This window comes from Homo sapiens, chromosome 1 (genome assembly GCF_000001405.40).
Source record: "Homo sapiens chromosome 1, GRCh38.p14 Primary Assembly".
In the NCBI taxonomy this organism is placed as follows: Eukaryota; Metazoa; Chordata; class Mammalia; order Primates; family Hominidae; genus Homo; species Homo sapiens.
Window position 1 is genome coordinate 83908796 of NC_000001.11, and position 14303 is coordinate 83923098.

The 14303-nt window shown below is 36.3% G+C and overlaps 1 protein-coding gene across 8 annotated transcripts in view; it reads right to left on the reverse strand.

The window, feature by feature from the left end:
• Positions 1-14303, reverse strand: part of TTLL7 (tubulin tyrosine ligase like 7) — a 134109-nt gene that overhangs the window by 43772 nt on the left and 76034 nt on the right. For 6 of the 8 annotated variants that reach the window (NM_001350215.2, NM_024686.6, NM_001350214.2 and 3 more), the window contains 5 exons: positions 12452-12599; positions 12292-12365; positions 10904-11039; positions 8809-8895; positions 2370-2568 (listed from right to left, as the gene is read on the reverse strand). In NM_001350215.2, coding sequence (NP_001337144.1) covers positions 2370-2568; positions 8809-8895; positions 10904-11039; positions 12292-12365; positions 12452-12599 — 644 coding nt within the window. Of the gene's footprint in view, positions 1-2369; positions 2569-4137; positions 4246-8808; positions 8896-10903; positions 11040-12291; positions 12366-12451; positions 12600-14303 lie in introns of those variants that run through there. The other 2 variants (XR_007063701.1, XM_047430700.1) reach the window with 2 other exon arrangements.

Sequence of the window (14303 nt, forward strand, 5' to 3'; positions counted from 1 at the left end):
CTTCATTAGCTGTTGAAAAAAAATTTAAACCTTTATAAAGGGAATAGACATAAGCCTTATATTTAGGGATGTACTTCTAAATTAAATTTTGGAGAGTACAAAAAGGTATACTTATTTAAGCTATAAAAGATTAAAAAAAACTTCTCTTTGTTCCAATGATTAACTTCCTTGTGAACCTGAAACTGTCACCACTTTTCAAAATGACACTGCTTCTATATTTCTAGAGAAGGGCTATGTGAGGAACATACCACTGGTCAATCTTTTTTTTTTTTTTAACAAAGAACTGCACATATTTAATGTGCGCCGAGAGCAAACTTATACTAAGAAAATACCCAAGGCATGTGCTAGTAACTGCACTGTAGTCCTACTCTCTTTGAGGGGTTATGGTAATGGTTTGGTTGTATATAACCTGATCACTGGGCAGAAGGAAAATATCCTTTGTCTTGAATCATCACAGATTACTTTTTTTTTTCCTTTTTTTTTTTTTTTTTTTGCCTACACATGCTAGAAATTCAGATAGAAAAACTAAGTAGCTAGACATGCCAATGATGTTTGGGTAGGTTCACAAAAAATCTTTGTAACTTGCATATCCCTTTGAAGCTGAAATAAGTTTGAATTTTTCAAACTATATACAAGACAAAGTGTTACACATAATCTGGATTTTGTCCTTGATCATCAGCACTACTCTGAAGACAAAACTCAAGTAGGATTTCTGGCTGAAATGTTCCTTAATGTAAGATTAAAGAAAGAATAAACACAAAGTGAAAGACTTGTTACAATTCCTCGTGAATATAAAAATAAAATATAACTAATAAAAAAGACATGTAATTAAATTAGGCTAGATTTCAAATGAAAATTCATACTTAAAAACATTTTAAAAATCTGTATATTTTAGTGCACTATTGTCTGATATCAATTTGTTAACCTATTGGTCTAAGAACAAAGAACAATCTCAGAGCTATAACAATGTTAGCAAATTTTACTCCAACCTGTCCTCATCCCCCATCAGTTCATGCCATTAGGGAGGTACACATCAGCTAACAGGAAAGGGAATTAAAAACTGACCAAATTTGGGCATAAAAACCTCAGCTTCTAAAACCAACACAGAGCCATACTTACACAAAGACACACTGAAAGTATTTAAGGAATCCTTCAGAAAAAAGGAAGCAAATGATGAAATAGCTTACAAACTGTGTAACAGGTGCTCAATAAACATTTCTTAAATGAATAAGTAAATAAATAAATAAATGAAATGGAACACAATACATTAATTCCCCTCCAAAGACATAAACCCTGGAAGATATGAAGTAGTAGCACATTTCTTTAGAGAATAATGTATAAACAAAGACCATTCCTCTAAAAGCTTCATCTATTGGTTCTTTATTCCTCATGCATTTTGCCGTAAGTGTTTAAGGCCAGTTTTAAAATATCCACATTATCAGGGAAGTTAACATATTAAATACATTGCTGACGGTAAAAAGGGCTCACAATTGTGTTCACTGCATTATTGAGCTGGTTCCTTTAGTGGAACCCTAGGACAGTGGAGCACGAGGCAAATAGAAATATGAGAGACAAGTGTTCAGAAAAGTCCTGGACTGGAGGCAGCATCAGGAAGGGGTTTTCCAACTGAATCTAGGCAAACAGCAATCCCACACTGGACATTTGGGGATGAAAGAAAAATCACAGACACAATATTGCACATTTGGAATTGAAGAACAAACGAAAGAAGAGCCAAAGGAAGAGAGAGAGAATGTAAAAAGAAATACAGACAGAAGGAGAGAAAAGGAAGCAGAAACGGAAGGAGATGGAACAGCTGGTTGGCTGCTCTCCTAAGTAGTTCCTATGCATCATAAGCCCTGACTTAAGTACTCACCCGTGATGAAAATGGGAGGGAACAAAACTCCAACTATTTCACAATTATGTAACTTACAGATACATTCAAGTCAAATGCCTAGGGATATACATACTTTTTGAAAAATATATAATAAGTGATAGTATAAAACAAAGTGGGTGAAGGAAGTAGAGAGGCAGAAATTGAATGAGAGAGAATATATTGGCTTAAGAGACACATAATCATCAGATCAGCCATGAGGCACATTTTACAAAACCCAGGCAAAAATCTGGCACCTAACAAAAACGATGAAATATAGAATAGATCCTTAATCCAGCCCTTTCGTTTTCTATTTGCAGATCTTGAAAGGGCTTAATTAAGGGATGTGCCCGAGTCTGGTTAGGGAAGGAAGTGGGATGGAATCCAGGTCTCCTCACACACAACAGGGTTCATTTGGCCCAAGGACCTTTTACTGAGTTTAATAATTTCAGTTCCATAATTCTTTATATAACATCTAAATTAGAAGAAATTGACTTACTGGGTTGTTGAATTAATTTGTAGTGGTTGGAGGGTTTAAGATTATATGTAACTTGCTTTTCTCTTTTCTTATTTTGGTACTCTTCTTTTTCATTTTCGTCAGATTCTGAAGAGCTGCTGCTACTATCATAACTGCTGTCACTGCTGCAGTACTTTGGTCTTTTCATTATCTCAGTACTCTCAGGCATAGAACACAGAGGCTAAAAAAGATGGAAATGTGTTATTTTGTTAGAATTCTTAAAAAAGGTTTATTGATATGATTAGTTACTATTTTTAATTTCCCCCTATGCTTGCTGCTTTTTACTGAAGGTTGAGAATCCCCCCAAATACTATTGCTGCCATGCTGCTTAGCCTACAGTGCTATGCATTGATTGTTGTTTCTGCAAAATATTCTTTCTTAAATGATATAGTCATGATGAGGAATATGTTGTTCCTACATGATTGGAATAAAGGGCCAGAGTATCCATAAACAAAGAATAACAAAATAAAGGGAAAATATTTGAGATAAAAATATAAAAATAAGAAATATAATCAGCTTTTTTCATTCCATAAGAGATTACTCATCAAGACTCAGAGATCTACCTTTGTCTTATCATTAACGTTCAGAGTTACTCAATAAATGTGTATGCATGTGCACGTGCAAGTGCATCTGTGTGTGTATGTGTGTGGTGTGTGTGTGTCTGTGTTTGTGTGTGTGAGGGGGTGGGAGGAGAAAGAGAGACAAAAAGGATAAAGAGAATAAGAATACTAAAACATTGCCTGTGAGCCTATCCATTCAGACAATGTGCAGGAAGAAGTTAGGTATCCCTTACAAGACTAACTGGCTGTGGATATTTATAAAAATAAAATTTTTAGTTAACTGTCCATTTTCCAAACTGCTCAAGAACAACTGATGTCTTTTCTCAGAGTATTCCTAACTCTGGCACGTAGCTTCTGGCCATAATAGAGTGACATAACTTTTCATTGCCCATGCTACATTTTAAAAATTAATAATATAATATGAAGATCAGTATGGGTAAATTTTCATGGAGGAAGGATAAATTTCTCTAATAGAGAATGGAAGATCTGTAAAGACTGAAAATGCCATGCTGTTACGTGTTACCATCCCTATTAGAATCACTTGTTTCTAGTCCTCCCAATCAATGTGTTTCCAATGATGCCAGCTGAAGGAATGGAAGGAAAGGGACGTGGGACAGCTTCACATCAGAAAGAATGTGCATAACCAAGAACAAGACAGTTTTATAACTCAGTCATTCTAAGAGACTATTTATTACACACACCATATGCCTCCTATTCCTGATGGGAGAGGTTCCTTCAGTTGTATACTAGTTGCTTGTTTTCTGTTAAATCAAACAAAAATGTTTTGATGTTAGCATACACTATAATGAAATCCTTGGATAGCATGGGGATTTCACTGAAAGAAGGTATACCCTCTAGTGTAACAGTGTAGAATAAAAATAAAGACAGAAATAGCATTTCATGAAGTGCCTGGAATACAGAGTGAGCCAAAAAGCATGATCTTCTTAAATTTACAGTCTTTGCAAAGGATGAAAAATAACCAAAGCAGGAAAGTAGTTTAATTCACTAAGGTACCAACTTGTGTTTAAAAGCATGTGCTCCTTCTGATGGTCTAATATTTACTAAGTACTGACAATGTTCAAAGAGATATGCATAAAAACATTTACCAGTAACACAATCATCAAACATTTTGACAATCTTGGGGAATATGAATTCTAGAGGAAGGTTGTTTCCTCAGAAGTTTAGCATACCCAGAAGAAAGAGTGGCACAATCAGGCTTGCTAGTAGTGCCTTCCTTCATGTAGCAAACAGCTTTAAGTGTTCTTAAAGAGCTTGACTACATAATGAGTTATTCGACCCTATAAAGAATCACAAGGGGAAACGTACAGCTGAGCCTTTGTGTCTTATATGCACTTGGGACTTTTTGACCAACACACTGTTCAAGCAATAATTAACTAGCAGTCACAGCAACATAAACTCTAAATAGTGTCTTAACTACAAAATGGAATTTGTAAACTGGCATTGAGTTATGGCACAACCATACTACTTATTTTTTATGTCCAATTTTATTATGAAGTAGGCTATATATAAAAAATGTATAAATATATGAAGAATAAACACCCACATGCCTATCACCCAGCTTAATAAAAAGAACATTGCTAATATTTTACTGCAATTACTTTTGCACCAACCTAATACTTCATGTGATATTTATTATTTATGTAGCTAATGTTTCTTAGATTCTCAAATTGGTGGAAAGCTATTATTTCTCCTACTACAAGTACCAGTTTTATTTAACTTTGATTATCTCCAATTATTCTTCTACCAGTAAAGACACTGGAAATCAATGTTGGGTGTGTGATACCATCCCTCTAAAAAGGAACGGCTGTTTTGAAGTTTTGCTCACTTTGAACCCTTGGTAAACAACATAAAATTAAAAGTTATAAAGATTCTTCTACTTCAGACTGATTATGCAGACTTCAACAACTTTGAAATATAGCTGGCTTTAACAACTACAGGAAATATCTAGTTCATTTCAACAAATACATTGTTAGTTTCCACTACTTGCCTAGAATGAAAGGGACTGAACAAATCAGACAAAGTGAATTCTTCTTCCTCCCAAGAGGTTATAGTTTTGTTTGGATGACAAGCCTTATATAAATGAAACCCAGGAAAATATAAGACAATATAAAGCTGTCTCAAGGCTTCTGCATTTGCCATTCTGCCAGAAACATTGTGCCTCCAGGATATCTCATGTCTGGTTTGCTGAATAGCAATAATTAATATACAAAGCTTAGAAACTTCCCAGTGTTTCCCAAAGTGATGCCATGACTCATGCAAGTATTCACTTTTACAGATACTCTAAAATATATTTCTTCCAAAGGAAGTATCAATGACATATTCTACAATGCCTCAATATAGAGCACATAATTCAGAACAGTCTCTGATATCCAAGATCTCCACCAGATAAGTATCTTATCTCTTAACCAGGCTCACCTGTATCATTTCACTATCCAAGAACCTTCCACTTGAGTCATACCAAACTTTTCATGTTTCTACAACATCCTATACAGTATCATAACTCCATATCTTTGCCTTTAATGTTCCGTCTACCCTAAATGTTCTTCCACCTCTCTCTCTCTTTTTTTTTTTTTTTTTTTTTTTTTGTGAGACAGAGTCTTGCTCTGTCGCCAAGCCAGAGTGCAGTGGCGCGATCTTGGCTCATTGCAACCTCTGCCTCCCACGTTCAAGCAATTCTCCTGCTTCAGCCTCCCGAGTAGCTGGGACTACAGGCGCATGCCACCACACCCAGCTAATTTTTGTATTTTTAGTAGAGACGGGGTTTCACCATGTTGGCCAGGATTGTCTCAATCTCTTGACCTCGTGATCCGCCTGCCTTGGCCTCCCAAAGTGCTGGGATTAGAGGCGTGAGCCACCGTGCTCTGCCTCTTCCACCTCTCTTAATGCTTAGAGCACTACTCATTTTTCAAGATCCAGTTCTAATAGCACTACCTTTCTGAAGCCATCCACATGCTACCAATCCCTTTCTTCTCTATGGGGCTGTAGCACTTTACACTCCCTTTATTATAGTACTTGCCACATTACTCCCTGGTTTTTTATTTACCTGTCTGCTCTTCTACTAGCCAATGAGGTTCTTATGCATATATTTAACAAATTGAACTAATGGATTTTGAGAACCTACTGTGTGTCACACACTGGCTAGGTTCTAAGAATACAAAGATGAAAATCTACTTGCTACCCTCAGGAACTTGCAACCTCATACTGAGGCAAACATGCAAATAATTACTTGTCACAACTGCTCTATAAAAGTGTTATTTATGGAACAGCAGGAGAAAGAAAGAAGGGAAGGTCTAAGCCTAACTGGGGAAATGAGGGAAGGTTTCACACAAGCAACAGCGGTTCAGCTGAAATAGGAAGGAGCCTCAAACAACAAGTCAATGACTTTTTTTTTTAGTAGGAAGACATTTCAGAAGCATGGAAAAGCATGAAAATACGATAGAACAAAGCTGGAGGCATCACACTACCTGACTTCAAACTATACTACAAGGCTACAGTAACCAAAACAGCATGGTACTGGTACCAAAACAGAGATATAGACCAATGGAACAGAACAGAGCCCTCAGAAATAATGCCGCAGGTCTACAACTATCTGATCTTTGACAAACCTGACAAAAACAAGAAATGGGGAAAGGATTCCCTATTTAATAAATGGTGCTGGGAAAACTAGCTAGCCATATGTAGAAAGCTGAAACTGGACCCCTTCCTTACACCTTATACTAAAATTAATTCAAGATGGATTAAAGATTTAAATGTTAGACCTAAAACCATAAAAACCCTAGAAGAAAACCTAGGCAATACCATTCAGGACATAGGCATGGGCAAGGACTTCATGTCTAAAACACCAAAAGCAATGGCAACAAAAGCCAAAATTGACAAATGGGATCTAATTAAACTAAAGAGCTTCTGCACAGCAAAAGAAACTACTATCAGAGTGAACAGGCAACCTACAGAATGGGAGAAAATTTTTGCAATCTACTCATCTGACAAAGGGCTAATATCCAGAATCTACAATGAACTCAAACAAATTTACAAGAAAAAAAAACAACTCCATCAACAAGTGGGCAAAGGATATGAACAGACACTTCTCAAAAGAAGACATTTATGCAGTCAAAAGACACATGAAAAAATGCTCATCATCACTGACCATCAGAGAAATGCAAATCAAAACCACAATGAGATACCATCTCACACCAGTTAGAATGGCCATCAGTAAAAAGTCAGGAAATAACAGGTGCTGGAGAGGATGTGGAGAAATAGGAACACTTTTACACTGTTGGTGGGACTGTAAACTAGTTCAACCATTGTGGAAGTCAGTGTGGCGATTCCTCAGGGATCTAGAACTAGAAATACCATTTGACCCAGCCATCCCATTACTGGGTATATCCCCAAAGGATTATAAATCATGCTGCTATAAAGACACATGCACACATATGTTTATTGCAGCACTATTCACAATAGCAAAGACTTGGAACCAACCCAAATGTTCAACAATGATAGACTGGATTAAGAAAATGTGGCACATATACACCATGGAATACTATGCAGCCATAAAAAAGGATGAGTTCATGTCCTTTGTAGGGACATGGATGAAGCTGGAAACCATCATCCTCAGCAAACTATTGCAAGGACAAAAAACCAAACACCGCATGTTCTCACTCATAGGTGGGAATTGAACAATGAGAACACATGGACACAGGAAGGGGAACATCACACACTGGTGCCTGTTGTGGAGTGGGGGAGGGGGGAGGGATAGCATTAGGAGAAATACCTAATAGTAAATGACGAGTTAATGGGTGCAGCACACCAACATGGCACATGTATACATATGTAACAAACCTGCACGTTGTGCACATGTACCCTAAAACTTAAAGTATAATTTTAAAAAAAAGAAAATATGATAGAAGACAAAGTGGCTAAGGACAAAGAGATAGCATAGTAATTCTGAAATATAAATGGAATAGAATGAAAAAAAAATCCAAGATTTTTCTAATTTAACTCTTTCCTACTCTACTAGCAAGAACTTTGACATATATCAGAAGAACAGCACTGGATGCAGTGGCTCATGCCTATAATCCCAGCACTTTGGTAGGCCAAGGCAGGAGGATCGCCTGAAACCAGGGGTTCAAGACCAGCCTTGGCAACACAGTGAGACACCATCTCTTTAAAAAAAAGAAGAATTTTTTTTTAATTAGCCAGGCATGGTGGCATGTGCCTGTAATCCCAGCTACTCAGGAGGCTGAGGCAGGAGGATCACTTGAGCCCAGGAGTGTGAGGCTACAGTGAGGTATGAACATACCACTGGACTTTAACCTGGATGAGAGTGAGACCCTGTTATCAAAAAAAAAAAAAAAAAGGAGAACATGTAGATGTCATCTACATGACAGCTTTCTACTTATTTCTAGGAATTACACCTATTTTAACTAAAACAAAATCAATGTTGTTAGGTCAGCAAAAGACAGGGCTTCTAATTAGGGTCTCTAGAGTTCATGATTTGCCTTATTTATAATGTTACCCATTTATTTGATAATTATCTGTCTAGAGGTATGAGGCAAACTTAATACTTAGTTTAGAATAAGAGTACTAGCTCTTGGGTCCCTTTTGGCCCTGACTCATGGTCTTTTCACTGTCATCAGGAAAATAACCAAAATGACGAATGAAACTAATAAAACAAAACAAACTCCTGAGTGTAAGGTATCATCATCTTCCAAACTTTACCTGCACTGGGCACACAGTCCCTGTGGTTCCTTTTTTAAAGCAGCACCAGTCTTTCTTATAGTGAGAAGTATCAAGGGCTAGTAGCATCTACTTTGATAAGTAAGGAAGGTAGAGATATACTGCACCTTTGGTCCTCGAGTCTTGGTAGTTTTTCCCATCAACTTTTCATCATCAATTTCACATTGCTCCAGAAGATCCAAAATATCTTCTTCCTTCAAAAAATATTCTAATTAAAATTACAACCACTAATGGACTCTAGAATTTTTCCAAGTTGATTAATCTCCACAAAATAATGCAGAGCAAGGATTCCTGAAATTATTTAGTGAAGATTGCTCAGAAAAAAGGAGAAATATTAAAGGGTCACAGCAAATTCTCTTGAAACTTTCACTAAAATCTGGCATTATAATTAATACATAGCCAAAATCTATTCTGTATTAATTATCCTAAACAAATGTATCTTTATAGTACAGTATAGTATTAAAATCTTAGAGTATAATACTTCAATAAATTAGCCCATTGGACACTAAAATTTCTGGAAAGTTCATGCTGTTTTCCAGATTTCAAGTTTATGAATCATTTCTATACAGATTAGTGCAAAATGATATTAAACCTCCAGACAGAAAACTGATAATTGGACTAACAGTTTCACTTAGAAACATTCTAATGTGAGTATTTGCTGACTGGGCACTATTTAATGAAACTCTTTCAAAATTTTAATGATTGCACAAAGTATTTTTAGAACTTTATAAAGGTTTTCATTCTATAGTCATCAAAGGTAGCAAAAAGCCACAAGTGCCCTAACACCTTTCCTGCGTTCTACTAGAGTCATATTCTGAATCAAAAGGAAATTTTGTAAAAGCATATACCCCAGTGGATATTAGGCAAGCCAGGACAATACGAGTATAATAGCTACACTGAAAGAGGTATAATCAACTGTATCATTTAGTTATTTAAGAAAGGATTCTAGAAAAGGTTTTTGAAGAAACTAGAAATCTCACTGTGCAGTAGAAATGTGTAAAGTAAGTTACTCTTTGTCCCAATCTAAGGAAATTTAGCTATTGAAATCCCAAAATACTCTTATTATACATTTTTTATTAAATAATAATCTTACAATGAATTCCATGGATAGCAGTACAATATAGCCAAAAAGAAACTCAAGGAGTTCTGCTTCTGTTTAGGAGAAATATAACAGATAATACTTTCATCATAACAGCCAGAAAAGGCCAGATAAACTAAACAATCATATTTTCTAAAACATCAGAAAGCTTTACTTTAGGTAAAAAGTAATGTAAAGAAACTAAATTCCAAAGAGGAACAAGTTCTTCCTAGGTGAGCAGAGATGAGTGGCCATTTTCTTCTTTGGGGTCATCTGTCATGTCTGGACATATGTAGGCAGAGATCAAGTCTAAAATAGAGAGCTCCTACTAGGATAAAAAGAATCTTCTTGAAATGCTCCCTTTTAGAATCCTGAGCTACTATATTGAGAGGTCTGACTACCCTGCTGAGAGACTGTGTAGGGAGAAAGAGATACCAGCCAGCTCCCAGATGTTTCAGCTATCTTATCTGACACACCAGACATGTGAGTGAAGCTACCCTGGATTTCTAGCCCCAGTTGGGCATTCAGATACATGCTACTATATGATTCACCCCAGGAAAGACAAGCGGAAGAACCACTCAGCTGTGCCCAGCCACGATTGCAGAGTAATGAGCAAATAAATGAAGTGGTTTGTTATGCTATAATAGAAAACTGCTAGACCTTTTACTATGGTGTACAGATTAGAGTGTGTGTGTGTGTGTGTGTGTGTGTGTGTGTGTTTCATTTACTTCCTCTCATATGCTAGATCTACATAGCATCAAGAAAAAGTATTATGTAATGTTTGTTATAATCCAAAAAATAAAAACGCTACAAACCACTAGGTTAATTCCATGGGTTTCTTTATCCAGTTACATATACACATCTATGTAAGAAGATACGTTATTATAATATATTGATATTACAACATAATATCACAATTCTCTACTCCATAATTTTTCTTGGTAGATATCTTATGAAGTAAGTTGGTTCATCATGAAATGTTACCAACTGTTAAAATAGAAAGCTTGGGGAAAGCATATCTTAAAAGTAAAATGTTTTTATATGTCGGACCAAGGTGGCTTGTCTGTAAAGACATATTGTTTAGCTTTATTCTTTTTTCTCTATATAAACATTCATTCTCTTACCTTCATCCTTTTCAAAGGATTATTCAACTCTCGCTGGAATGAAGCTGCTCTTCCTGAAAGGAAGGTCTGAAAGGCAACAGCTAACAAATTTTCATACTTTTCAAGTAATGCTTTATCTTCAGGAGGATAAATTCGTCTACAACAAAATCAGATAAACCAATTTTTTAAAAAGAAGCTGTCGTAGCTCAATAGTTAACATCAACTCCATAGACAATCCTTGACCATCTATTCTATACCAGTCACATTGCCAGGTATAAGCATTTCTATACTGATTAGTGCAAAATGATATTAAATATTAAACCTCCAGACAGAAAACTGATAACTGGCCTAATAGATTCACTTAGTAACTTTCTAATGTGAGTATTTGCTGACTGGGCACTAATTAATAAAATTCTTTCAAAACTTTAATGATTGCACAAGAGTATTTTTAGAACTTTATGAAGGTTTTCAGTCTATTCATTAATAGTGGCACAAATCCACAAACAAAGTTTATCTAGAGAATTAGCATTAAACAATGCAGTTCCAGAAGGTACAGTATAAGGGTTTAGTTGGGGGGAAATGGTTGGGGAAGAATGGTGATTGGGCAAATTGGAGAAATACTGAACTTTATAGGAGAGTGTTCAGGTAATAAGGGATACTGCAGGAGTGTTTTTACTTAGTGTGGTTACTGAAGTATACAAAAATGTAAGCAGTGGTTCTGATGATCTCTTTTGTAGTGGTGGAATTTGCCTCTCTAGTAGAGAGAAGTGGGTAGAGGTAGAGTGGGAGGAATGTGTTCTTATCACTACTGTTGATGGTGTTAAGGCCATGAAAGAACATCTTACCATGAGTGCAAGAACGCCCTCACACATTCCTTTATCCTGCTCAGGCAATGTCAAAAGTTGGAAAGTGGGCAATCTGTCCAAGAACACAATGAGCTGGGTGGGGTGGGGGGGTTTGAATCTGTCAAGGGTGATATTGTGGAAGGGTTCCAGTTTAACACAGCCCACATCCCTCTCCACTGTCTCATACCTAACTCCTTCAAACATTTTCATTATTTGCCTAGTTCCTGAAAAAGTACAGTAACCACCATGGATTGGCAGGAAGAATACCAAGAGACCTGAATTCTGACTTTTTTTAAAAGACCACATTATAACTAAATACAGTCACAGGATAACAGCAGGTTAAAAAGACCTCCTACAACCACCCAGAGGCTGGCTAGCAGGAGCGCTGTCAAGGCTGAACCATCTCCCTGCTGACTACCTTTCTTTCTGAAAGACAGTAAGCAAAAAGCACTTGCTTGGAATGAAAGAAAAATGCTTAAAATAAGCACACAAGATTAAAACATGAAGAATCATTGCTTTGATACTTCATTTTTTCAATCTATACAAAAATAGCAGCACAGTTACCTATAATTCCCCATATGTCGATTTTCATGTTCTTCTCGTGAGATCTGCTTTCGTACTTGAGCGAGTCTCTCTTTCTGGAAATGAGAAAAATTTTACAAATAAAATCCAACAAGTGAATTATGCAATTTAAATTGTGGGTACTTTCTTAAAACTTTCATACCAACTCTTCTTTCCGCCTCTCCAACTGGTGTCTCTGCTGTTCCCAGTCTGAGGAGCCTGGTAAGAGCCTTTTAATTGAATTTTGACCATAGAGCCTCCTTTGAGCCTCAGCTTTTTGTTTGGCCAAGTTTCTTCTTTTGTCACTGGTCCTAAAATATAAAACATAAGACCATATTCTAGAACTCGAACAAGTTCTGATCTTATCCCTGTGAGGAGAATTTGCAGAACAGGAGACATAGTGAAGCTCAGAATCAATGTTTATTAAACTTATATATTCACTTACATTATATTCATCTAACCATACCTCAAATATGGCACTCTGACAATAGATATGGTAAACAGAAATTCTGAAGATACAGAGACAAAATGGAAATAGTGCATGTTTTAGAGGATCAGAGAGACCTAGTTTCACATTTTGCCCCAACAATTTACCACTATACAATCTTGGGCTGGTCAATTAACTGCCTAGTTTGGATATAGTTTCCCCGTCTAAAATGTCAGCAATACTGTTTCCTCCTTGAGTTCTTATAAGATTAATTTGTGGTAACATTAATAGGTACTTAATATGTAATGGTTCTCTTCTCCTTCTTCAACCCAATTCCATTTATACTGACCACTCTTTAATACATTTTCATTTCTGACCGAAATCTCAGCCTAACAATCATCATTTATTTGAAAACATCTGCATAGTCCTTCCCATTTTTTACTCAATTATGAAAATTTACTTATAACTCTCTGATTTTTAAGGAAAAGTCCTGTTTTGGGATTATTTTCCTCTAAACCACTTTCTCTCTCTTCCCTGCCACGTAGCTGGTGAAATAACACAAGCCTGAGGATTTTTCTCTCCAACCCCTTCAACTTAAACTCTACCATACCATCATTGAAAGACCTAGCAGGAACAGGGTGTACTCCAAGAAAAAAGGAAAAGCAAGGCCAATTCTGACCCCACCTTTAGAAGAAACAAACAAACAAACAAACAACAAAAACAAAACAGAAAGTTCTATCCTTAAGCTTACATTTCCATGCTTCTATTGTCATTAGGCTGGTAGGGCCCAGATAAGAGTGTAAACCAAAGGAAAGGCGACAAGAAGGCCATTTGGCTAGCTTCTAGTGCAGAGGTAAGAGAAGTGCTTATGTTTACATATTGCCTCATTTAATTCATCATGAGATTGCATGAAGAATATGAGTCGAAGGCCCTAAACAATAAAGAGAGTTCTTTTGCCTCAAGTATGTACCATCACAACTTGACCTTGCAGGAATGTTAGGAAACTGATCCATTCTCTTTCATGACAACATTCAGGCTTGAGTAGCAAGAGGTCAACAGGTGGTCAGGTAAAAGGAATAATTTGAGAAAATAAATAAATGCATCCAGAAAACTGCAAGTCATTCAGGATTACTGGAGCTCTGGGTGAATGCAAGAAACTCAGCTTCTCACATGGACTTGAATACTAGGTTATTGAGCCTCAAATTTAACTTTACACAATGAAGGAGAACATAAATTTTTAAAAGAGGGCATAATTATATTTGTATATGTTAAAGATTATGCTCTTGGCAGTATATACAGTGGCTTAGAAGTAGATGAGAAAAGAAGCAGAAAGTTAAGATGAGATGCTATTTCATTAACAAATATAAAGTATGAGGGCTTGGAACAGGGGAGCAACAAAGGGATTAGAGAAAAAAGGTAAGTTTAGAGTAATATTTTGGAGGAAGAATGGATATGCTCTGGTGACTAATTCAATATGAAGAATAAGAAAGAGAGATGAACTTGTGATGACACCAAGAGTTCTGATTTTAGTGAGTCCACTGGCATTTTCAATGATGAATACAAATTTGGCTCTGAGTTTCCCCTAATT